At 48.6% G+C, this 25,387-nt stretch overlaps 2 protein-coding genes and 1 pseudogene across 3 annotated transcripts in view, besides 2 other annotated features; 1 reads left to right on the top strand and 2 right to left on the bottom strand.

Moving 5' to 3' along the window:
- SHBG (sex hormone binding globulin) overlaps positions 1 to 2,553 on the bottom strand; it is a 19,309-nt gene extending 16,756 nt beyond the window's left edge. The window contains exon 1 of the mRNA NM_001289114.2: positions 2,506 to 2,553. The gene's annotated coding sequence lies outside the window, so the exon portion shown is untranslated. The remainder of the gene's footprint in view (positions 1 to 2,505) is intronic.
- Positions 1,476 to 1,525: a silencer, noted in NCBI's record as "silent region_8133". NCBI's record gives its function as "represses an Ori minimal core promoter by ATAC-STARR-seq in GM12878 lymphoblastoid cells {active_cell/tissue: GM12878}" and the evidence as "EXISTENCE:reporter gene assay evidence [ECO:0000049][PMID:35858748]".
- Positions 1,636 to 2,165: a silencer, noted in NCBI's record as "silent region_8132". NCBI's record gives its function as "represses an Ori minimal core promoter by ATAC-STARR-seq in GM12878 lymphoblastoid cells {active_cell/tissue: GM12878}" and the evidence as "EXISTENCE:reporter gene assay evidence [ECO:0000049][PMID:35858748]".
- Positions 1,720 to 25,387, top strand: FXR2 (FMR1 autosomal homolog 2). 2 transcript variants are annotated; one of them, NM_004860.4, is made up of 17 exons: positions 1,720 to 2,165; positions 10,468 to 10,520; positions 10,879 to 10,972; positions 12,537 to 12,608; positions 12,712 to 12,860; positions 13,615 to 13,708; positions 15,092 to 15,208; positions 20,623 to 20,793; positions 21,860 to 21,938; positions 22,270 to 22,379; positions 22,613 to 22,699; positions 22,992 to 23,214; positions 23,436 to 23,633; positions 23,723 to 23,923; positions 24,018 to 24,113; positions 24,263 to 24,363; positions 24,692 to 25,387. In NM_004860.4, the coding sequence occupies exons 1-17, from the start codon at positions 2,085 to 2,087 to the stop codon at positions 24,785 to 24,787; spliced, it is 2,022 nt and encodes a 673-aa protein (NP_004851.2). In that variant the 5' UTR covers positions 1,720 to 2,084; the 3' UTR covers positions 24,788 to 25,387. The 2 variants fall into 2 exon arrangements, with proteins under 2 accessions (NP_004851.2, XP_047293062.1); XM_047437106.1 differs by lacking the exon at positions 24,692 to 25,387 and adding an exon at positions 24,460 to 24,551.
- LOC124904134 (uncharacterized) lies at positions 5,344 to 5,436 on the bottom strand (annotated as a pseudogene).

Genomic DNA, 25,387 nt, shown 5'->3' with positions numbered 1-25,387 from the left:
GTCTCGCTCTGTCGCCCCAGCTGGAGTGCAGTGGCACGATCTCCGCTCACTGCAACCTCCGCCTCCTGGGTTCACGCCATTCTCCTGCCTCAGCCTCCCGAGTAGCTGGGACTACAGGCGCCCGCCACCACGCCCAGCTAATTTTTTTTTTTTTTTTTTTTTTTTGTATTTTTAGTTGAGATGGGGTTTCACCGTGTTAGCCAGGATGGTCTCGATCTCCTGACCTCGTGATCCGCCCGTCTCGGCCTCCCAAAGTGTTGGGATTATAGGCATGAGCCACCGCGCCCTGCCATTATTATTATTTTTAAAGAAGAAATTTCACTCATTGCCCAGGCTGGAGTGTGGTGGCATGATATCCACTCACTGCAACCTCCACCTTCCTAGGTTCAAGCGATTCTCCTGCCTCAGCCTCCTGAGTAGCTGGGACTCCTTCCGAGTAGCTGGAACTACCACGGCTAATTTTTTGTATTTTAGTAGAGACGAGGTTTCACCATGTTGGCCAGAATGGTCTCCATCTCCTGACCTCGTGATCCGCCCGCCCGTGATCTCGGCCTCCCAAAGTGCTGGGATTACAGGCCTGAGCCACCGCGCCCGTCCTAATTTTTGTATTTTTAGTAGAAACAGGGTTTCGCCCTGTTGAGGCTGGTGTCAAACTTTTGGGCTCAAGTGATCCACCGCCTGAGCCTCCTAAAGTGCTGGGATTACAGGAGTGAGCCACAGCGCCCGTCTGAAACTATTCTTAAAGCTTTCTTTCTATTCTTTCTTTCTTTTTTTTTTTTTTTTGAGACTGAGTCTTGCTCTGTCGCCCAGGCTGGAGTGCAATGGTGCGATCTTGGCTCACTGCAACTTCTGCCTCCCAGGTTCAAGGTAGTCTCCTGCCTCAGCCTCCCGAGTATCTGGGATTACAGGCGCGTGTCACCACGCCCGGCTAATTTTTGTATTTTATTAGATGCGGGGTGGGGGGGGGGGTGGGTTTCACCATTTTGGCCACGCTGGTCTCGAACCCCTGACCTCAGGTGATCCGAGGACCTCAGGTGATCCACCTGCCTCGGCCTCCCAGAGCGCTGGGATTACAGGCGTGAGCCACCGCGCCCGGCCAAAACTTTCATTGTATCACAATCTCTTCAAGGTAAGAGCCATGACTGTTAAATCTACTACAGTAGAGAGTTACAGATTCTTAAAATATCGGCGATGCATACGCGAAGAGGGTAAAGCTCAGCGCGTGCGCACCAAGCACCTTTTTCCTTGCGGCGACTCCTCTTCTTTTTTTTTTCTTTTTGGAGCGTGCGCACCAAGAAAGACAAAGGTGGGGAAAGTGACCAAGCAGTCGTTCAGGCGCATGCCCATCCCTAACTTGTCCAAGCCCGGTGGGGCCAGCGGCGGCGGAGTGGGTGTGGCCTGAGCGCTGTGTGACTGTGCGGACGCCGCCCAATCGGACTGAGCGAGCCCGGCCCCTCCCTCCCCCTGATTGGTTGGTTCTCAGTGTTGTGGGGCGGGGAAAGGAAGAGACGGGGTGGCTGGGCGGTGGAGCGGTGAAGAAAGAAGGCTAATCTTGTTCTGCGCAAGCGCTAGCAAGCGACCAGGAGGGGGAGTGAGAGAGTGAAAGGGAATGTGGAAGCCCCGATGCGCTAGCTGGCGCTAGCTGGGGCTCTAACCTTGACGCCTGCGCGGTGGCCCTCGGGGCCCCGCGCGCAGCGGGCGGGTGCCCGGTGCGCCTGCGCAGTAGGCGGCGGTGGCAGGGGGAGGTGGAGGCTGTGGAGCGGCAGCGGCAGCAGCGGGTCCCGGGACTGAGGCAGCAGCGGGGGCGGCGGCGGGCGGAAGCTGAGGTGACGAAGGCAGCGGCGGCGGCGGCCGTTTCCCTCACGGTGGCGGAGACCAAGGCGGCGGCGGCGGACGGGGAGCGGCCCGGCCCCGGCCCCCTGCTCGTTGGCTGTGGCAGGGCCGCCGTGGGGCCGGCCCGGCTCCCGCCCCCCGCGGCTCCCCCTCCGGCTCCTCCTCCGGGGAGACGCCGGGGGCCTGGCCCGGCCCGCACTCAGACTGCTGCTGCAGCCGCCGCCGGGGGAGTCGGAGGCGGTGGCGGCGCCATGGGCGGCCTGGCCTCTGGGGGGGATGTGGAGCCGGGACTGCCCGTCGAGGTGCGCGGCTCCAACGGGGCCTTCTACAAGGTGAGACGGCGCGCCGACTGGGGACGCCGGTCCTTAGCCCCCTCCCCTGGCCGGAGCAGGAACGCGTGGGGCGGGATCGAGCTTCTGGAGCTGAGTCCTGGCCCTTAGAATCTTGGACCCTTGCTCCAACCCGCAGCCTTCCCTGGGAGACCGCTTAGAGTGAACCCTGTTCCTCTTATTTTTGACCCCTCTAAGGCACCTGCACCTGCTTCTACCCCCATCTCCGGGAGAATGAACTTCAGGCCATTATTGTCCCTGGCTTGGCGCTCCCCGCTCCGCAGGAGAGACCCCTTTACCCAGCTTCTAATTGACTGTGTCCGTTGTCTGGTGGAAGACATACCTTAGACCTTAATCACATCTTCCCCACGATCCAAGCACATGGAGAATTGTCTTTCTTCCACACGGTCCCTTTGGGAAGGCCCTCTGTCCCGTAAAAGATCCTTTCATCTTCCTCAGAGAGGCCTCTGCCTACTGGCTCTGGAACACTCACCCCACTTTCATCTTATATTCCGGTTCCCAAGCCAAGGAGAAATGGTCAGATCCATTTACGACGTTTGGCATCTTTGACCTCAGGAACCCTGGGTTGGATCAGTCAAGTTGCTTCCCAGCCAGCCATAAGGTGGCATCTTTCGCAAGTCTCTCTCCCCACCACACCTTGATCTCAAGACCCACTGCTCTACCATTCTACTCAGGAATGGATTTGAGGTCTCACTTAGACCTCAGATACCTTCAGGTCATTCATATAGTTTCTTCGTCTTGAGGCATGTAAGCTTCATAGTCATAATCTCTAAAAGGATCTCTGAAAGGAAGCTTATGAGGTTCCCTTCTGTTTATCTTAAGATTTCCACTTCTTGAAGACTCTTGGCCAACTATCCCAGTTCGGGAATCTGACAACCTTTTTTGGAAGACGGGATCATCTTTCAAAGACCCTTCCTTATTTCACCTCCCCCTTTGCCCAGGATTTGGTTCCTTAGAACTCCTTATAATACCACCTTCCTTATCTGCTCTGAATCTATTTTCTAGGACATTTTTTTCCCATTTAGATTAAGCCAGAGAGAGCCCTTTCTTGCCTCCCAAGAGTTTTTCTTTGTGTGACTGTTGGTATTCTGAACCTCTTGGATTTGATGCCTGGAATTGTCCTAGAGACTCTCCTGATTTCTGTCTCATTCTTTGATTTCACCCTGGGGAGCTGGGGAAGAGATACCTTCCCATGGCATCACTTGTTAAGAGTGGATCCCCCTTCCCCCTTTCCTTCAGTTCCCCTCAGGCCTTTTTCCCCCACTGTAGTCCTCTCTAGTTTCTCATGCCCTTGGAAATGTCTTTCTTTGACTCCTTCTCTAAGTCATATTTTTCTATAACTGCAGAGGGTCTTGTAATTTCTCTTGGGTGGTTTCTGCCTGTACTTCAGTTGCTAAGTGCATTGTAGTCATTTTTTTTTTTTTTTTTTTTTTTTTTGAGATGGAGTCTCGCCCTGTTGCCCAGGCTTGGAGTGCAGTGGTGCGATCTTGGCTCACTGCAAGCTCCGCCTCCCTGGTTCGCGCCATTCTCCTGCCTCAGCCTCCCGAGTAGCTGGGACTACAGGTGCCCACCACCATGCCCGGCTATTTTTTTGTATTTTTAGTAGAGACGGGGTTTCACTGTGTTAGCCAGGATGGTCTCGATCTCCTGACCTAGTGATCCACCTGCTTCGGCCTCCCAAAGTGCTGGGATTACAGGCGTGAGCCACCGCGCCCGGCCATTGTAGTCATTTTTTACTCACTCTTCATACTTACCCATTTTTGCCTTACTTCCCTCATCAGATTTATTTCTCTGCGGTGACTGTGGGTACCCATGTCTAACTTACCTTCTCAATTCAAGTTTTTAGCTTTTTCTCCTAATATTTCTGTATTCCTGTGTAATCCCCAGGAATCACCTTATTCCCTGTCTAGCTGAAGGAAGCTCCCTGCTGATCTCTTTTTGTCATTTTGTGCATACTTGCCTAACTCTTGGGACTTTTTCTTCTAGCCTGCCTCCATAGCATTTCTGTTTTCTTTGGCAAAAGTCTCTAATTCCTTTCTGCTTTTGATAGAGCACATTTGTCTCTCATATCCTTTTCCCCAAACTTGCATTACCTTTGTTGAAATAGCTTCCTAAAGTGGCCCTCCCTGTTTACCTTGGTATCTTTTCCTTCATCTGGGTCCTTACCACCCCCAAATTCTGAGTTCCAAGAAAAGTGATTCTTAAGTTGAGTCCAAGATCAAGATATGATGTTTGCTTTGTTCTAGGAAGCGTAGGAGCCCTGCACAGCTGAGAAAGATTGGTATCCAGTTCAAATGAACTGTATGAGATGGCTGGGAAGGGACACGTTTTCTGTCCCACATATAAGTGTCCAGCAGAAAGTCTCTCTGAATCTTTTCCCTTTCTCCTGTGTGCTGTGGCAGTGATAGACTTGAATAGATGGGGACCAGGATACTGTGATTCAGAGAGTAGAGTTTGGGGTTGAGCTGAAAGCCAGGTAATGTGGTAATGTGGATCTGGGCAGGTTAGCATTTTCTGCCCTGTTCCTGAGTTAAAAACCACAAATCCCTAAATTCAGGCTAATCTTCCACTCTCAGTACCCTACAGATACTTATCCGTTTTGACCTTGCTGCTGATTTAATATTCATGACTCAGCAAACTTGGGATGGGTCAGGGAGTATTTACACTGCTTCTGGAATTGTACATTTGGGAAGGTCCCTTTCTCCTCTCTCAGAATTGGGCCCTGTTGTCAGTTTTCTTTTCTTTCTTTTCCTTTTTTTTTTATTTGAGACAGGGTCTCCCTCTGTCATCCAGGCTGGAGTACAGTGGCGTGATGTCGTCTCACTGCAGCCTCCGCCTCCCAGGTTCAAGTGATTCTTGTGCCTCAGCCTCCCGAGTAGCTGGGATTACAGGTGTGCAACACCATGCCTGGCTAATTTTTGTATTTTCAGTAGAGACGGGGTTTCGCTATGTTGGCCAGGCTGGTTTCTGACTCCTGACTTCAAGAGATTCGCCCGCCTTGGCCTCCCAAGGTGCTGGGATTACAGGCGTGAGCCACCACGCCCTCCCGTCAGTTTTCTTAAAGGATAAAATATTAGATCTGGGATCTAAGTTATTTTGTAGCTATCTGAAAATTAAGTTTGTCAGAATTTACTCTTTTTTTCCGTCCTTTTTTTTTTCATGTCAGACTGGCATCCGTAACAAGGGTTGAGGGAGGCATACCTCACCGTGAGCTTGAAACCGCAGTCATCATGCTTAAGACGTACAAAATGGCTTAAGACGTACAAAATGGCCTAATGTATTTTATTCTTTAAGTTGTACTCTCCCAAATGAAGTATTCACCGTCCAGGGCGCAATCTTCCTACTCCAAACCTCATCTGGATATCCTAATCCCCATTCCTTTCTTAATCAACATGGCATCCTCAGCTTCAGTACTTGGTTTTTACTCAGACTGTTCCTGCTCTTCTCCTAGAACCCCCTCCTTTGCTTTGGGAGTCTAGAACTAGAAGACGGTGAAGGTGGGGACCAATTTTATATCTTCTAATTTGAGGAAACCAAAGTACCTAGGAACCTGGGGCTCTCTCTTCCTCTGCTGGCTTGGTGCCAGGCTCCAGAAGCCAAAGCCAGGTGATGCTATGGCCACTGAATCAAGTTATCCTCTGGATCTAGGTGGCTCCCTAATACATTCCACCCACCTGCTCTTGCCTTCACCTGCTTATTTTCACAATGAGCGTAGACTGAGCAGAACTTGGGGCTCACTTCCACCACAGATACCCTTGGAGAAAAAAACTAGTATGGGATGAATGGGTGGAATTTAGGAGCAGAGACAGGATTGGAATATGAAGTTGGGGACAGAGCTAGTTTTGGAGACTAATTGAAGGAAAAAGACCCTGGAAATATAAGGGTTGAGTGAGATTTGGTTGAACTGCTGAGTAATGTGAGAGATTACTCCATTCTGAGCTTTGCATTTCTGCCTTGGAAGTCATGGTAGCTGGGAAAACTAGGGTAATATTGCTGCTCACCCTGGGGCCAAGCCTAACATGGTGGAGGAGAATTGGATTACACCATAGGCATAGCCGATTTGAATATATCTAGGAGTAGAAATCTCTCCACAAAAGCAGTAAATTAGTGATTCTCATCTCTGTCTCTTTTCCACTTCTTTCTGTCAGTGTAACTCCTGCCTTGATAAACTACTTCTAAGGCTTGGAGTAGACATTTTGGGTAAAGAACTGGATAAAGTCAGCGGAAGAGGCTGGTTGGAATAATTCTAGAAATCCAGACGACCCTGCAGCCTCTGCCTCCTGGCTTCAAGTGATTCTCATATCTCAGCCACCCTGAATAGCTGAGGTTACAGCCATGTGCCACCACGCCTGGCTAATTTATATATATGTGTGTGTGTGTGTGTGTATATATATACATACATGTATACATATACATGTATATATATATGTATACATATACATGTATATATATATGTATACATATACATGTATATATATGTATACATATACATGTATATATATACATATACATGTATATATACATATATATGTATGTGTATATATATGTATATGTATACATATATATATAGTAGCAATGGGGTTTTGCCATATTGGCCAGACTGGTCTCGAACTCCTGGCCTCAGCTGATCTACCGACCTCGGCCTCCAAGTGTTGGGATTACAGGGAAAAGAAGAGGGAATGGATAAAATATTAGTGGTTGTGGGAGTGGGGAGGACACTTGAGCAGGAGCTAAGGGAAGAACCCAAAAGGGAAGAGAGACCCAGGCAAGTAGAAGTAAAAGTGCCTCAGAAGACTTGAATGGAGAACAGTAGGAGTTGGCATTAAACCTGAATGAACATGCTCATAACTCAGGTTCTTTTTGAAAAAGGAAAAAAATCTGAATGAAGAGTAGAAAAAACATTTCTGGAGAAGAGAATGTCAGAGAAAGAAAAAGCATGGGTAAAAAAGAGGCCAGGAAGTACCAGTAGTAATTAAAGCCTTGGGCAGTAGTAAGGCTCTAAGAAAGAACATTCAGTCAAGAATGATCTTGACTGACTGCAGCCTCTATAGCAAGACATATCCCTAAAGACGAGAAAGGTGGCTTGTATGAAGAGTGAAATGCAGGCTTAGATTTTCCCATCGTAAGGAAATAGCAATCTGGTAAGTGTTTGTGATTGATTAGTTCTATGAGGTGGGAGCTGTGCATTTGCCAAGGGCATTTTTGGTGTTTTCTCTCCTAAGCTTAGCCTTTGTCCCTAGCAGCAAAGCTCATGAATAGTTCTTGTGTATTAGCCTTTTGAAACCTCTAATTCTTTTATTTTTGTTTATTTATTTTGTTTTTTGAGTCACGGTCTTGCTGTGTTGCCCAAGCTATGGAGTGCAGTGGTGCAATCACAGCTCATCACAGCCTCGACCTCCCTGGCTCAAGTGATCCTCCCACCTTAGCCTCCTAAATAGCTGGGACTACAGGCACAAGCCATCATACCCTGCTAATTTATAAATTTTTTGCAGAGATGAGGTTTCCCTGTGTTGTATGGGCTCTCTAATTTTTTTAAAAAACATCTTTATTGAGCTGAAATTGACATACAACAAAGTAGACATATTTAAAGTGTGCCATTTGTTAAGTTTTGACATGTATGTAACTGAGTCCATCACTGCAATCAAAGGAATGAACATTTCTGTCACTCCCAAAAGTCCTCCATCAACTACCAATCTTCTGTCATTATACATTAAATTGCCCTTCCTGATTTTCGATAGAAATGAAAAGGCAGTTCAATTCAGCTAAGAAAGGATAGTCTTGTCTTTTCTTTTCTTCTTTTCTTCTTTTTTTTTTTTTGAGGCAGAGTTTGCCCTGTTGTCCAGGCTGCAGTGCGATGGCATGATCTTGACTGACTGCAGTCTCTAACTCCTGGCTTCAAGTGATTTTCATGCCTCAGCCACCCTGAATAACTGAGGTTACAGCCATGTGCCACCACGCCTGGCTAATTTATATATTATTATTATTATTATTTTTTTTTTTTTTTAGTAGCAATGGGATTTTGCCATATTGGCCAGACTAGTCTCGAACTCATGGCCTCAGCTGATCTGCCAGCCTCGGCCTCCCAGTGTTGGGATTACAGGCGTGTGCTACCGCCCCTGGCCAGAAAGGATAGTCTTCAACAGACAGTGCTGGAACAAGATATCTTTAGGTAAAAAATGGGCTGGGCACAGTGGTCACACCTGTAATTCCAACATTCTTGGAGGCTAAGGCGGGTGCATTGCTTGAGTCCAGGAGTTCAAGACCAGCCTGGGCAACATAGCGAAACCCTGTCTCTATTAAAAAAAAATTTTAATTTAAAAATATATTAAAAATAAAAAAAAGTGGCCTGGTGCGATGGTTCATACCTGTAATCCCAGCACTTTGGGAGGCTGAGGCGGGTGGATCACCAGAGGTCGGGAGTTTGAGACCAGTCTGACGAACATGGAGAAACCCTGTCTCTCTTAAAAATACAGAATTAGCCAGGGTCGTGGCCCATGCCTGTAATCCCAGCTACTTGGGAGGCTGAGGCAGAATTGCTTGAACCTGGGAGGCGGAGGTTGCGGTGAGCCAAGGTTGCACCATTGCACTCCAGCGTGGGCAACAAGAGCGAAACTCTGTCTCAAAAAAATAAATAAGAATTTAAAAATTTAAAAAACATTGATCAATACCTCACCTTATATATAAAATTTAATTCAAAATGGATCATAGGCTGGGCACAGTGGCTCACATCTTTAATTCCAGCTTTGGGAGGCTGAGGCAGATGGATCACCTGAGGTCAGGAGTTCGAGACCAACCTGGCCAAGATGGTGAAACCCCGTCTCTACTAAAAATATAAAAAATTAGCCTGGTGTGGTGGCGGTTGCCTGTAATCTCAGCTACTCGTGAGGCTGAGGCAGGAGAATTGCTTGAACCCGGGGGGTGGAGGTTGCAGTGGGCCAAGATTGCGCCATTACACTCCAGCCTGGGTGACAGAGTGAGACTCTGTCTAAAAATAAAGGATTATAGATGTAAATGTAAAACAAAAAACTAAAAGTTTAAGAAGAAGACATAAGAGAAAACCTTTGTGGCCTTGGATTAGGCAAAGATTTCTTTTTCTTTTTCTTTTTTTTTTTTTTGAGATGGAGTTTTGCTCTTGTTGCCCAGGCTGGAGTGCAATGGCATGATCTTGGCTCACTGCAACCTCTGACTCTCAGGTTCAAGTGATTCTCTTTCCTCAGCCTCCCAAATAGCTGGGATTACAGACATGCACCACCACACCTGGCTAATTTTTGTATTTTTAGTAGAGACGGGGTTTCACCATGTTGGCAGGCTGGTCTCGAACTCCTGACCTCAGGTGATCTGCCTGCCTCGTCCTCCCAAAGTGCTGGGATTATAGGCGTGAGCCACTGTGCCTGGCCTGGGCAAAGATTTCTTAGATATGAAACCAAAAGCACAGTTGATAAAATAATAAATTCATAAGCTAGACCTTTTTCAAAATTAGAAATCCCTAATTGTATGTGAAAAATAGGGAGAAGGTAGAAAAATTGGGAGCATAGGGGTGAATGCATGGCTTTGGCCTCCTTAGTGAGGACACAGACCACAGGAGGTGGATCAGCTGTTCAGTCATCCCTCTTGCTCTTGTCAAAATATCAAGATTGGAGTCTTCCATAAATTTTATTATCCTTTATAAATTATCAGTGTCATTCTAGATTCAATTCTAGTATTAAAAAACCGATGTTTTTAAATTAAGTCTTAATTTTTCCTTCTGTAAATTGTGTTCATCACAATTTTGAACTTGTCTAGTGTTCCGATTATTGTCTTAGGACCCATGCATCAGGGCAGCGAGTCTGCTCAGATCTCTTGCTGTATTGCGGAGGTAGGCCCTTCTCTCTCGACAGATCCTCATGTCCTCTAGGTGTTCCAGGACAGCCTCACACTGTCTCATGGGATATTCTTAGCCTTGCTGAATGTTGTTGGTATTTTAATTGAACTCTGGCAGGCTGCTTAGCACAACAGGAGGCAGACAGATAGGGAGGCCCCTGTGGGAGCCTGAGTAGATCATTGGTTTCCAGGCTGTTCTGATGCAGGTGGTACATACACCTCTCCATGACAATATCATTTCCTTTCTCTGTTTGACTGCCCATATTCTTTCCCCAGTGCAGCCTTTCAGGCTGTCTCATTACACCACTTGTGTCCCTATCTAAAACTCAAGTTTAAGGTTTTGTGGTGTCTTATTCCCTTGATGGCTAAGGTGGAAGTAAAAGGTCATTTTATTTTTTTTGCTTTTTTCTAAAATCCATTCTAGGGCTTTGTGAAGGATGTCCATGAAGACTCTGTCACCATCTTCTTTGAAAACAAGTAAGACCTTGGGAATAGAGAATCCAGCATACTAGGTCCTAGAAGGAGAGTGGAGAAGAGGGGGCAGCTGAGTCCTATGAGGCATGTAATAGGTTGGGAGAGCTGAGGGTTTGGGTGGGAACTCATATGGATCCCAGGAGAGGAAAGGGCTGAGAATTTGGTGAGGGTGGGGGCATTTGACCCAGTATTTAGAGTCTAGAAAGAGATGGAAGACACTACTATGGAGCAGGGCCTGGGGTTTAGCCTCTAATTATCCAGATAGGTGGAACTCGCCCAGCTGAGGCAATAACCCTTTTGTAAAGAAATGGGCAACCATATCAGTCAGAGTAGCTTTTTCATATTATTGTTTCTATTATAGCTGGCAGAGTGAGAGACAAATTCCTTTTGGGGATGTCCGGCTACCACCTCCAGCTGACTATAATAAGGAGATCACAGAAGGGGATGAAGTGGAGGTAAGGGCTGTGGAGTACACCTTTCTAAATGTCACTTTTCCCCAGGATTCTAGGCTTTTCTCTGGTTGGTTCATGTTCCTTCCTCCCCAACTAAGCCATATCCAGCCATGTAGCCTATGGAAATGTAAAATGCAACAGTTCCCCTTTTATCACTGTTGTGATCAGCCAAACTCTCAGGAACATCCCCAGTTTCAGGCGATTTGCCTTCCATTTATGGTAACAACATCTAAAATCCAGTGCCCTCTGATTTTTTTGTTGTTGTTGTTGTTGTTGTTTTGAGATGGAGTCTTGCTCTGTTGCCCAGGCTGGAGTGCAGTGGCGCGATCTCAGCTAACTGCAACCTCCGCCTCTTGGGTTCAAGCAATTCTTCCACCTCAGCCTCCCAAGTAGCTGGGATTACAAGCACCTGCCATCATGCTCGGGTAATTTTTGCATTTTTGTAAAGACATGGTTTCACCATGTTGGCCAGGCTAGTCTTGAATTTCTGACTTCAGGTGATCCACCCGCCTCAGCTTCCCAAAGTGCTGGGATTACAGGCATGAGCCACCATGCCCTGCCGTCCTCTGATTTTAATTAGTTCCTTCCTCTGGTTTCTTGTATCCTTGGTTTAAGATACATCCCAGGCTGGATGCAGTGGCTCACACCTGAAATCCCAGCACTTTGAGAGGTCGAGTGGGGCAGATCACCTGAGGTCAGGAGTTCAAGACCAGCCTGGCCAACATGATGAAACCCCATCTCTACTAAAAATACAAAAAATTAGCTGGGCGTGGTGGCGGGCGCCTATAATCCCAGCTACTTGGGAGGCTGAGGCAGGAGAATCGCTTGAACCCAGGAAGTGGAGGTTGCAGTGAGCTGAGATTGTGCCATTGCACTCCAGCCTGAGCACCAAGAGCGAAACTCTGTCTCAAAAAAAAAAAAAAAAAGATGCATCCCAAATACCTTTTTTTTCTTTTTGAGATGAAGTCTCACTCTGTTGCCCAAGCTGGAGTGCAGTGGCGCGGTCTCAGCTCACTGCAACCTCCACCTCCTGGTTCAAGTGATTCTCCTGCCTCAGCCTCCTGTGTAGCTTGGAGTACAGGCATGTGGCACCACACCCGGCTAATTTTTGTATTTTTAGTAGAGGTGGGGTTTTACCATGTTGGCCAGGCTGGTCTTGAACTCCTGACTTCAGGTGATCAGCCCACCTCAGCCAAAGTCCTGGGATTATGGGCATAAGCCACCGCGCTTGGCCTCTTTTTTTTTCGTGGAAGTGGGGTCTCACTGTGTTGCCCAGATCGTTCTTGAACTCCTGAGCTCAAGAGATCCTCCCACCTTGGCCTTCCAAAGTGCTGGGATTATAAGCTTGAGCCACTGTGCCCAGCAGCCCCAAATATCTTAATGGTTGTTCTATTGTTTATGTTGCCCAAGCTGGTCTTGAACTCCTGGGCATAAGCAGTCCTTTTGCCTCAGCCTCCCAAAGCGCTGAGATTACAGGTGTGAGCCCCACCATGCCCGGCCTCCTCATCCCTTTCTTGATGCTTTTGGGTGGTCTTCAATATCTCTTTGATTCTCTACTTTTCTTTAGGTTTATTCTCGAGCCAATGAACAGGAACCTTGTGGCTGGTGGCTGGCCCGGGTGCGGATGATGAAGGGAGATGTGAGTGACTGGGAATGCCTTTGGAGAACTACTGAAACAAATATGTTATTCATAGAAAGTTGCTCAGGTCATCCACAACTTCTCCTTTTTTACCATGTGCCAGTTCTATGTCATTGAATATGCTGCCTGTGATGCCACCTACAATGAAATTGTTACCCTGGAGCGACTTCGGCCAGTTAATCCCAATCCCCTTGCAACCAAAGGCAGCTTCTTCAAGGTTACCATGGCTGTGCCCGAGGATCTGAGAGAAGCGTGAGTGTTAAGGATGGTGGGAATGAGGGCCCTCTTTACAGCCCTAATCTCTGGCTTTATTTCTCCCAGGCATCACTCCCACTTTGCAGTTTTCTCTGTTGTTCCCCTGGCCCTCTACTAGAGCCCTTCTTGCTAAGAAGACACTTAGTTTCTTTATTTTCCCATCCTTGTTCTTTAACTGTGGTCCCTCTTCTTTTCTTTTCCTTTCTTTCTTTTTTTTTTTTTTTTGGAGACAGAGTTTTGCTCTTGTTGCCCAGGCTGGAGTGCAGTGGCACAATCTCGGCTCACCGCAACCTCCACCTCCTAGGTTCAGGCGATTCTCCTGCCTCAGCCTCCCGAGTAGCTGGGATTACAGGCATGCACCACCACACCCGGCTAATTTTGTATTTTTAGTAGAGACAGGGTTTCTCCATGTTGGTCAGGCTGGTCTCAAACTCCTGACCTCAAGTGATCCGCCTGCCTCAGCCTCCCAAAGTGCTGGGATTACAGGCGTGAGCCACCGCACCCGGCCCAGTCCCTTTTCTTTTCTTATTTACTCAGCCCTGCTTCTCTGAATTTTTTTTTTTTTTTTTAATAGAGACAGGGTCTCACTATGTTGCCCATGCTAGTCTTGAACTCCTGACTTCAAGTGATCATCCTGCCCTAGCCTCCCAAAGTGCTAGGATTACAGGTGCAAACCACCATGTCCAGCCTCCCCCGAACTCTTCACTGTACTCTCTGCATTCTGCCCGCTGAGTACTTTTTTCCTCTGCAGCTGCTCCAATGAAAACGTCCATAAAGAGTTCAAGAAAGCCCTGGGAGCCAACTGCATCTTTCTCAACATCACAAACAGTGAGCTCTTCATTCTGGTGAGTTTATTCTGCCTGAATTTCACATAAGCCTTTTGAACATTTTTTCTTTTTCCCTTTTTAACCCTTTTGCAGAAAGAGAAGGGCTTAAATGTGCTTATATTTATTTGTCAAGAGGACTTTATTGCTCCTGACTCCTACAGGCCCAGGTAGCCCTACCTTTTTTTTTTCTTTTTTTTGAGACGAAGTCTCACTCTTGTCACCCAGGCTGGAGAACAATGGCACGATCTCGGCTCACTGCAACCTCCACCTCCCGGGTTCAAGCAATTCTCCTGCCTCAGCCTCCTGAGTAGCTGGGATTACAGGTGTGCGTCACCACGCCGGCTAATTTTTTTTTTTTTGAGATGGAATCTCACTCTGTCGCCCAGGCTGGAGTGCAGTGGCGCGATCTCGGCTCACTGCAACCTCCACCTCCCAGATTGAAGCGATTCTCCTGCCTCAGCCTCCCGAGTAGCTGGGATTACAGGCGCCTGCCATTGCGCCTGGCTAATTTTTTTTTGTGTTTTTAGTAGAGACAGGGTTTCACCATGTTGGCCAGGCTGGTCCTGAACTGCTGATCTCCTGATCCACCCGCCTCGGCCTCCCAAAGTGCTGGGATTACAGACGTGAGCCACCGCGCCCGACATGCCCGGCTAATTTTTGTATTTTTAGTAGAAACAGGGTTTCACCATATTGGTCAGGCTGGTCTTGAACTCCTGACGTCGTGATCCGCCCGCCTTGGCCTCCCAAAGTGCTGGGATCACAGGCGTGAGCCACCACGCCCGGCCTCTGACCCTTTTTTTTTAAACCTGATAATCATGTTGCCATCTGGGTTAGAGACCCTCTCTTGATATTTGGACTTTCAGAAATAGAGTATGTAGCTCTCACCTTATGCTTGCTCCTTGCTTTCTCTCTAAACCATTTTCCTTCAGTACCCTGATAGTCAGCCTTTGTGGGACTGACAATGAGTCTCCTCCTTCCTAGCTTCATTTCTTTTTTTTTTGAAAACAGAGTATTGTTCTGTCACCAGGCTAGAGTGCAGTGGCGCAGTCTCGGCTCACTGCAACCTCCGACTCCCGGGTTCAAGCGATTCTCCTGCCTCAGCCTCTGGAGTAGCTGGGATTATAGGCATGTGCCACCACGCCCAGCTAATTTTTGTATTTTTAGTAAAGACAGGGTTTCACCACGTTGGCCAGGATGGTCTCGATCTCATGACCTCGTGATCCGCCTGCCTTGGCCTCCCAAAGTCCTGGGATTGCAGGCATGAGCCACCGCGCCCGGTCTCCTAGCTTCATTTCTTAACCCTTTTCCCGGGACTTAGGCATCCTGATTTCTAGTCCCTGGCTCTCCCTTAGTGTTTATTCCAAGCCAGTTTTAATGACTTTCCCACTGGTTTCCTCCCAGTCAACCACAGAAGCCCCTGTGAAGCGAGCATCTCTGCTGGGTGATATGCATTTCCGAAGCCTGCGCACCAAACTGCTACTTATGTCCCGCAATGAAGAAGCTACCAAGCACCTAGAGGTAACTTTTAGCTCCTTTTCCTTCTGCTGAAGGGTATTGTCTTCCTCCCTTCCTACCCTGTCCTCCATCCATGATCTTGTGTTTACAGAACAAAGACTAAGGCTTTTTCTGGGCAATTAAACCTGGGTCAGCTATTTTATCTCAGACTCCTCCAGATGGCAGAGCTCTATCATGGTATAGTGCAATTATTTTCAAATTTCTTTTAGCCAATTTTTTTTTTTTTTTTTTGGGAGACAGAGTCTCGCTGTGTCGCCTAGGCTGGAGTGCAATGACACGATCTCGGCTCACTGCAACCCCTGCCTCCTGTGTTTAAGCGATTCTCATGCCTCAGCCTTCTGAGTAGCTGGGATTACAGGCGTGCGCCACCACACCCGGCTAAGTTTTGTATTATTAGTAAGATGGGGTTTTGCCATGTTGCCCAAGCTGGCCTCGAACTCCTGGCCTCATGTGATCCACCCGCCTCAGCCTCCCAAAGTGCTGGGATTACAGGCGTGAGCCACCACACCTGGCTGAATGGTTTTTTTTGAGACGGAGTCTCACTTTGTCACCCAGGCTGTAGTGTAATGGTATAGTCTCAGCTGACTGCAACATCCACCTTCTGGGTTCAAGCGATTCTCCCGCCTCAGCCTCCTGAGTAGCTGGGACTACAGGCTTGTGCCACCACACCCAGCTCATTTTTGTATTTTTAGTATTGATGGGGTTTCACCATGTTGACCAGGCTGGTCTCAAACTCCTGACCTCATGATCCACCTGCCTCGGCCTCCCAAAGTGCTGGGATTACAGACATGAGCCGCTGCGCCCGGCCTTGGTCTTGAACTTCTAGGCTCAAGAGATCCATCTGCCTGTACTTTGCAAAGTGCTAGGATTACAGGTGTGAGCCACCACATGCAGCCTAGACTAGAATATTTATTTTTTAGGGTGGGCGCGGTGGCTCACGCCTTTAATCGCAGCACTTTAGCACTTTGGGAGGCCGAGGCAGGCAGATCAATCCGAGGTTGGGAGTCGAGACTGGTGAAACCCCATCTTTACTAAGAAGACAAAAATCAGCTGGGCGTGGTGGCACATGCCTGTAATTTCAGCTACTCGAGAGACTGAGGCAGGAGAATCGCTTGAACCTGGGAAGTGGAGGTTGCAGTGAGCCAAGATTGCGCCATTGCACTTCAGCCTGGGTGACAAGAGTGAAACTCTGTCTCAAAGAAAAAAAGGATATGACTGGGCGCGGTGGCCCACGTCTGTAATCCCAGCACTTTGGGAGGCTGAGGCGGGCAGATCACCTGAGGTCGGGAGTTCAAGACCAGCCTGGCCAACATGGGTGAAACCCCGTCTCTACTAAAACTACAAAAATTAGCCAGGCGTGGTGGCAGGCGCCTGTTGTCCCAGCTACTCGGGAGGCTGAGGCAGGAGAATCGCTTGAACCTGGGAGGCGGAGGTTGCAGTGAGCCGAGATCACACCATTGTACTCCAGCCTGGGCAACAAGAGTGAAACTCCATCTCAAAGAAAAAAAGGATATTTCTTGTTTTTTTGTTTGTTTTTTGAGATAGCGTCTCTGTCGCCCAGGCTAGAGCGCAGTGGCGCTATCTTGGCTTACTGCAACCTCCACCTCCCAGATTGAAGCGATTCTCCTGCCTCAGCCTCCCAAGTAGCTGGGATTACAGGTGTGTGCCATCACACCTGGCTAATTTTTGTCTTTTTTAGTAGAGATGGGGTTTCACCATGTTGGCCAGGCTGATCTCAAACTATGGACCTCAGGTGATCCGCCCACCTCGACCTCCCAAAATGTTGGGATTACAGGTGTCAGCCACCACGCCTGGCCTGACTAGAGTATTTCTGTGAGATCTTTTTGAATTCTGACATCGTATAATTGTCAGATTCCCTTTCGTTGGTATTATACTATTCTAAGTGAATAGGGTGTGTGTGTTTGAATACCATTTCCATTTATCAAGGGAATTGATCTTTTTGGGAGGCTTTTTTCTGTGCCTGTGCAATTTCTGGGTCATGATAATCTTTGACTTCTTCAGGGATCCTGCTCAGGGCACTGGCAGGTAAAAATTCACCATTACCTTCAGATGATACAAACTTTATTTTTTGTTTTTGTTTTTTGTTTTGAGATGGAGTCTCAGTCTGTTATCCAGGCTGGAGTGTATGTAGTGGTGCGATCTCAGCTCACTGCAGTCTCTACCCCCCGAGCTCAAGTGATCCTCTCACCTCAGCCTTTGGGTGGGTGGGATTACAGGTGCATGCCACCATACCTGGCTATTTTTTTTTTTTTTTTGGAGACAGTTTCCCTCTGTCACCCAGGCTGGAGTGCAATGGCACAATCTCCGCTCCCTGCAACCTCTCGCTCCTGGGTTCAAGCGATTCTTGTGCCTCGGCCTCCCAGGTAGCTGGGATAATAGGCACGCGCCCCCACGTCTGGATAATTTTTGCTTTTTTAGTGTTTCACCATGTTGCCCAGGCTGGTTTTGAACTCCCGACCGCAGGTGATCCACCTGCCTTGGCCTCCCAAAGTACTGGGATTACAGGCATGAGCCACTATACCTGGCCCTAATTTCAGTATTTTTAGTAGAGACGGAGTTTCACCATGTTGGCTAGGCTGGTCGCGAACCCCTGGCCTCAAGGGATCCACTTGCCTTGGCCTCCCAAAGTGCTGGGATTATAGACATGACCCATTGCACCCGGCCTAATTTTTGTTGTTGTTTTTTAATTTTTTGAGACGGAGTCTCATTCTGTCGTCCAGGCTGGAGTGCAGTAGTGCGATCTCAGCTCACTGCAGCTTGTGTAGTTAGCGCAGAGTGAGCAAAGGGAGACCGATACAAAATTCGGTCAGAGAGTAGATCATGTAAGACATGTACGGTAGGCTGAGGAGGGGGGATTTTATTGTGCGTATACTGAGAAGCCATTGAGTTAACAGTGCCTTCTGGTTTTTTGTTTTGTTTTGTTTTGTTTTGTTTTTGAGACGGAGTCTCGCTCTGTCACCCAGGCTGGAGTGCATTGGCGTGATCTCGGCTCACTGCAAGCTCCACCTCCCAAGTTCACGCCATTCTCCTGCCTCAGCCTCACGAGAAGCTGGGACTACAGGCGCCTGCCACCACGCCCGGCTGATTTTTTTGTATTTTTTTTTAGTAGAGATGGGGTTTCACCGTGTTAGCCAGGATGGTCTTGATCTCCTGACCTCGTGATCCACCCACCTCGGCCTCCCAAAGTGCTGGGATTACAGGCGAGAGCCACTGTGCCCGGCCGAAAGTGCCTTCTGTTTTAAACTCCTGTTTCAATGACAGATGGAAAGGGGGGCAAGAATGGAAGCAGGAACAGAGCACAGTAGTCCAGGTGAGAAACTTGAACTGGAGTGCTAAAGGAAGAGAGAGAGAGTAGTTTTATGTAGGATAAATTTTACGAGTAAAACCAGTAGGACTGACAGGCTCTGTGATACTGAGAGATACATATTTGGTCTCCTGACCAGGCTCCTGGCATTCAACTTCTAAAATCCTTGGAATCTCCAGTGATGTGTGTTTTTGTGTGCTGATGAGTTGATTCATGGCTAGCCCCTCTAGGTGGCTTCATGATTAGAGGGTTGGAACTTTCAGCCTCACCCCCACCAACTTCCTGGGAGGGGAATGGGGCCAAAGGTTAAGGCAATCACTGAGGATCAGTGATTTAATCAGTCATGCCTAGTAGTGAAGCCTCTAAAAACCGGAAAGGGGCCGGGTGCAGCGGCTCACGCCTGCAATCCCAGCACTTTGGGAAGCCGAGGCAGGTGGATTGCCTGAGGTTAGGAGTTTGAGACCAGTCTGGCCAGCATGGTGAAACCCCTTCTCTACTAAAAATACAAAAAAAGGGAGGCAGAAGTTGCAGTGAGCAGAGATCATGCCACTGCACTCTAGCCTGGGTGACAGACCCCATCTCAAAAAAAAGAAAAAAAAAAAAGAAAACCCAGCTGTTCTGCAAGCTTATCTAGAAGACGCTTATAGGTCATTGTAGATCTCTTCCCCTCCCCTCCTAATGTAGTGATTTTGAACACTCAACTTAGTTTATTTTTCCAACTTTCTCTTCTTGCCTGGTATAAATCCTTGGTATAATTCAGTCCTATCCAACTTGGAAGTGGGAAGTAGTGTATTTCAATCTAGGAATGTCTCCTTTCAGGTATTGTTTCTATTTGGTGCTTACAACATGGGATTCACTCCTCTAAAACCTTTCCTGTCTTCCTGCCCCTGAACCCAGGGGTTCCTCTAAGGACTGATTGAGAAATGAAGTGAAAGCCTGGTGTTCTAGAGGCATGTTTTCTGTTTTTCTTAACCCCTCACTTTTTTTTGAGACAGAGTTTTGCTCTGTCACCAGGCTGGAGTGCAGTGGCATGACCTCGGCTCACTGTAACCTCCAACTCCCTGGTTCAAGCAATTCTCCTGCCTCAGCCTCCCAAGCAGCTGGGATTATAGGCACACCCCACCAAGGCCAGCTAATTTTTGTATTTTTAATAGAGATGGGGTTTCACTATGTTGGCAGGATGGTCTTGATCTCCTGACCTTGTGATCCACCTGCCTCAGCCTCCCACAGTGCTGGAATTACAGGCGTGAGCCACCGCGCACAGCCTACCCCTCACTTTTTACTTAAGTTGTTGAGTTTTATTTGGGGATGAGTTGATATTTGTTTGATTAAGGTAAGAGTTCCTTACACTTGCATGTACCTTGTGAGAAGTACTTTCACACCAGCCTTGTCTAATCCTCTTGCTAGTCTTGAGAATAAGATAAGTTGGATATAATCACTTAGCAGATGACACAAGAGGCAGAGTATGTTTTGTTTAAGATCACACAGATAGATACTCTTAGGGACAGATACTGTTAGGGCCAAATCCAGAACTTCGGTGTGTCCCAGTCCAAACTCTGCCCTCTTTACCTTTCCTCCCCCACAAACCACTGGTATTTGGAAGGAGTGGAATTAAAAGTTCCTGACCTTGGCCGGGCGTGGTGGCTTATGCCGGTAATCCCAGCACTTTGGGAGGCTGAGGCGGGCGGATCACCTGAGGTCAGGAGTTTGAGACCAGCCTGGCCAACATGGTGAAACCTTGTCTCTACTAAAAATACAGAAATTAGCCAGGCATGGTGGTGGACACCTGTAGTCGTAGCTACTCAGGAGGCCGAGGCATGAGAATCACTTGAAGTCGAGAGGCGGAGGTTGCAGTGAGCTGAGATCGCGCCACTGCACTCCAGCCTGGGCGACAGAGCGAGACGCCATCTCAAAGAAAAAACAAAAAGTTCCTGACCTTTCCACACAGGTCCTCGTGGTCCGCGGACTCCAGAGTGGTTCTAGCTTTCTATTAATATCACACAGTTTTCCTTATTTAAGTTATGCAAAGGGTCGTGTGCCTGGGACTGTGAGATTCTACCACCATGATTCCTACAGTGACTTTTCCTTTCAGACAAGCAAGCAGTTGGCAGCAGCCTTCCAAGAGGAGTTCACAGTGCGAGAGGACCTGATGGGACTGGCAATTGGGACTCACGGTGCCAACATCCAGCAGGCCCGAAAAGTACCTGGGGTGACCGCCATTGAGTTGGGTGAAGAGACCTGCACTTTCCGCATCTATGGGGAGGTCAGCAAAGGATGTCTTTCTTCTGGGTCTCTTAGGGGATAGAGGGAAGAGAGGCCGAAGTAGAAAATAAGCCTCAAACTGGGCACAGTGGCTCACACCTGTAATCCCAGCACCTTCGGAGGTCAAAGTGAGAGGATCACTTGAGCCTAGGAGTTTGAGACCAGCCTGTGCAACATAGTGAGACCCAATCTCTACAAAAATTTAAAAATTAGCTGGAAGTAGTGGTGCGTACCTGTAGTCGCAGGTACTTGGGAGGCTGAAATGGGAAGATAGAGGGGAGGATCACTTGAGCCTGGGAGTTGGAGAACAACCTGGACAACATAGAGAGACCCTGTCTTTACCCCCCAAAAAAACCAAAAACCAAAAAACGTTAACTGAGCGTGGTGGCATGCATCTGTGGCCCCAGCTACTTGGCTACTTGGGAGGCGGAGGCAGGAGGATCACTTGAGCCTGGAAAGTCAAGGCTGCAGTACACCATGATGGTGCCACTGAACCAACCTGGGCAACATAGTCAATAGAGTGAGACCAAAAAATCAAAAAAATAGACCAGATCTCTGTTGCCCAAGCTGGTTGTTAACTCCTAGCCTCAAGCAATCCTCCCTTCTTAGCCTCCGAAACTGTTGAGATTATGGGTGTGAGCCGCTGTGCCTGGCCAAGGTCCTCTGTTTTTTTTTTTAAGTTATTTATTTGTTTAATTTTTTTTTTTTATGAGATGGAGTCTAACTCACTCTGTTGCCCGGGCTAGAGTGCAGTGGCACAATCTCAGCTTATTGCAACCTCTGCCTCCTGGGTTCAAGAAATCTCCTGCCTCAGCCTCCGGAGTAGCTGGGATTAGAGACGTGAGCCACCAATTTTGTATTTTTAGTATTTTAGTATTTTTGTATTTTGATTTTTGTATTTTTAGTAGAGATGGCGTTTCACCATATTGCCCAGGCTAGTCTTGAACTCTTGAGCTCAATTTATCCACCTGCCTCCAGCCTCCCAAAGTGCTGGGATTACAGGCGTGAGCCACCACATCCAGCTGGTCTTCTGTTTTAGTAACAACTCCCTGCTGTTCTTCCTTTAGACTCCCGAGGCTTGCCGACAGGCCCGAAGCTACCTTGAGTTTTCTGAGGACTCAGTGCAAGTGCCCAGGAACCTGGTTGGTGAGTTGGTGGTGTGTATATACAGTTAGAGGTCAGAATCAAGATTCTCTACAGTGATTCTGAGCTTTTATCCAGGATTGGCACCTCCCTGTGGACTCCCAGTTTCACAAGGACAGAGAAACAGTCTGTAATGGGAGTGATAAAAATGAAAGAATAAATTTCTAGGGATTGTAACATTTTGTCCTGTAAAAACACATCAGAAACCTAGAAGCAGGAGAATGAAGTAAATGGAATCCATATAAAGAAAATGAGGCTGGAAGACGGTGTATCAGCTTTATTCTTATTTCCTTAAAAAAAATAAAAGGCTGAATTCCTCATTTACCTATTCCAGGCAAAGTGATTGGAAAGAACGGGAAAGTGATCCAGGAGATTGTGGATAAATCTGGTGTGGTGAGGGTTCGAGTGGAAGGTGATAATGACAAGAAGAACCCCAGGGAGGAGGTATGGGTACGGGGCAAGTGGGCATAGAGATTGGTTTCCAGAAGTAAATGGGATTGTCCTCTGAGGGCTGGGATTGTTCTTTGAGAGGGTGGAGTACGGAAAGTTGTTTAACACTAGTAGATTTAGAGCCCAGAATGATCCCACTGGGCAGGCTCCCCTAGGAGACTGGGCGGCGTTAATCCTTCCATTTCATTTTCCTTTCTGATCCATCGTTTCTGCTCTCTGTTCTCTAGGGAATGGTTCCCTTCATTTTTGTTGGCACCCGAGAGAACATCAGCAATGCCCAGGCTTTGCTGGAGTATCACCTCTCCTACCTGCAGGTACCCAGGCCGGGAGAGAAAAATGCTGGGTGTGAAAAGGGAACTAAGACTGCTGTGGGGGTCAGCTCAGGGATTTTGGTTCTCTGTTTGTCTCTCCGTGTAGAACAGAAAACATCTGTGGAAATTTGGGGCTATAGGGTTGGGTCCCAGAATTTTCCTTGTTTAGCCAGTGTCTTCCTTCTCCCTGCATTCCTGAGAGGTTAGATATAGAGGGACAGTCAGGGTGCAGAAGCATGAAGCAAGGCACTGATCTTATTTCTCCTTCCCCTTCTTCCATCTTTTACCCAACCAGGAGGTAGAGCAGCTTCGCTTGGAGAGGCTACAAATTGATGAGCAGCTTCGGCAGATTGGGCTGGGCTTTCGCCCTCCTGGGAGTGGGCGGGGCAGCGGTGGCAGCGACAAGGCTGGATATAGCACTGATGAGAGCTCCTCCTCCTCCCTCCATGCGACTCGAACCTATGGGGGCAGCTATGGGGGCCGTGGCCGTGGCCGGAGGACAGGCGGTCCTGCCTATGGTGAGACAGTTATGGGAACAGGAGGCAAGGAGTGGCAGGGCTTGTGGGTAGAGGCAGAGGTCTGGATGGAAGTTTGGGGAAATCTGGAATGGAGATGATGAAAAAGTGATTGATTGGCTGGGAGGCTTGTGAGTGAGAAGGAGAATTCTTCCAGTTTGGGGGATGTGATGGATCCTGAGGTGGGATGAATGGCCGTGAATAAATCCCATTGTGTTCTTCAGGCCCCAGCTCAGATGTGTCTACAGCTTCAGAGACTGAGTCAGAGAAGAGAGAGGAGCCCAACCGAGCTGGGCCTGGCGACAGGGATCCCCCAACCCGAGGGGAAGAAAGCCGGAGGCGGCCGACTGGGGGCCGGGGTAGGGGACCCCCACCTGCCCCCCGGCCCACTTCGAGATACAATTCTTCATCTATTAGCTCAGGTACCAGACAGCTGGGTTCATGAATATGGGCCAAAAGGAAAGATGATGGGCACCTGACTGCCAACTCCTCCTCTTCTTCCTCTGACCAGTGCTGAAGGATCCAGACAGTAATCCCTACAGCCTATTGGACACGTCTGAACCAGAGCCCCCGGTTGATTCAGAACCTGGGGAACCCCCCCCAGCAAGTGCCAGGCGCCGCCGCTCCCGCCGCCGCCGCACTGATGAAGACAGGACCGTCATGGATGGAGGCCTGGAATCAGATGGGCCCAACATGACAGAGAATGGCCTGGGTGAGGGTGTGCCTGGGGTCTGGAAAGTTAGAGATGGGTAGGAATCGAGGGTGGGAGGTTGGATGTGTGACTCTGGTTTTTTCCTACCCTACAGAAGATGAATCAAGACCTCAACGTCGTAATCGCAGCCGCCGCCGCCGTAACCGTGGTAATCGGACTGATGGCTCTATCAGTGGAGACCGCCAGCCAGGTCAGCCAACTCTGGACACCAGAATCCTTCCTCAGAGCTGAGAGAATGGGATGCTCACCCCTGTGAAAATCAGGGGTTCGGGTTCAGTGGGTGTCTTAGGCTGGCTACCAGAATTCCATCTGAAAGTCTTAATCTCCTGCCTTCCCCAGTGACTGTGGCTGACTATATCTCACGAGCAGAGTCTCAGAGCCGCCAGAGGCCACCCCTGGAACGCACTAAACCCTCAGAAGACTCTCTTTCAGGACAGAAGGTAGGCAGGCAAGATGTGCTTTACCCCATCCCTTTTTTGTTGTTACTCTGGGGCAGGGGGCACAAAAAATTTCACAAATCTCCTACTGAATTGCAGAGGCAGCTGTGTCTGATGGAGTTTAGACCAGTGTAAACTTTGAATAGGATAGAGAAGAAAGTGTGGTTCACATTTTCTGGATCCCAAGTAAGAGAGACTGGATCATGAGATCAGGGAACCAACCTCTGGATCACCAAATGCCAGGAGGGCTTGGATGGTAGGGAATGTCTCCCACCTGAATTTCTACTCACCGCTTCTTGCTTTTCTGTTTTCTTTCCCACTTTCCCCTCAGGGTGACTCTGTCAGCAAGCTTCCTAAGGGCCCCTCGGAGAATGGGGAGCTCTCCGCCCCCTTGGAGTTGGGTAGTATGGTGAATGGGGTTTCATAAAACCTCCAACCTGCACCCCTCCCTTCTCCATCTCGCTTGCTGCCCAACACCATGGCCCTCACAGGCCCAACTGACCTGCGCTGGAGCTGCTCTTATCTAGGGGGGAGGGGGGTGGCACAGCAGCTTGGGTACCCCCCAACCTCCAGGAGCTAGTGGAGGGGTGTGTAACAGGGTCATACCCCCTCCCTCTTGTCCACCCTACCCCCAGGGTAAGGGGAGCCTCTCTCCTTCCCCATCAGACTGGATGTGCCTTTATCCTCTAATGCCCCAATCTCTCTCTGAACACCCCCATTCTCCACCTGTTGGTGGGGGGTGCTCCTCGACCCACCCAGATTTGACCGTTCAGGGGGCCTCCCCTGCTATCCCTCCTCCCATCCTGTACCCCCCATTTCTGGGGCCTCATCACTGTGGAAGACGGGGATAGTAAGAGATAAGTGGGTGGGAGGCACGGGGAAGGTTTTGGAGTAGAACCAGGGGTGTGTATGAAGGGGGGTGACAAGGTCCCCCTGGGGAGGGGACCAACCTTGTCTGGTGGATGAGAAGGCGTATTTATTTTTCACTGTACAGTATTTAAAAAGAGAATAAAAAAATCCAAATGGC

Source organism: Homo sapiens, chromosome 17, assembly GCF_000001405.40.
Source record: "Homo sapiens chromosome 17, GRCh38.p14 Primary Assembly".
Lineage (NCBI taxonomy): Eukaryota > Metazoa > Chordata > Mammalia > Primates > Hominidae > Homo > Homo sapiens.
This window is presented reverse-complemented; position numbering and strand designations above follow the sequence as displayed.

Coding starts and splice junctions, on each gene's coding strand:
- FXR2 (NM_004860.4), top strand. CDS start 2,085: ATGGGCGGCCTGGCCTCTGGGGGGGATGTGGAGCCGGGACTGCCCGTC. Junction 24,114..24,262: donor CAGTGGAGACCGCCAGCCAG/GTCAGCCAACTC, acceptor TGCCTTCCCCAG/TGACTGTGGCTGACTATATC. Junction 24,364..24,691: donor ACTCTCTTTCAGGACAGAAG/GTAGGCAGGCAA, acceptor CTTTCCCCTCAG/GGTGACTCTGTCAGCAAGCT.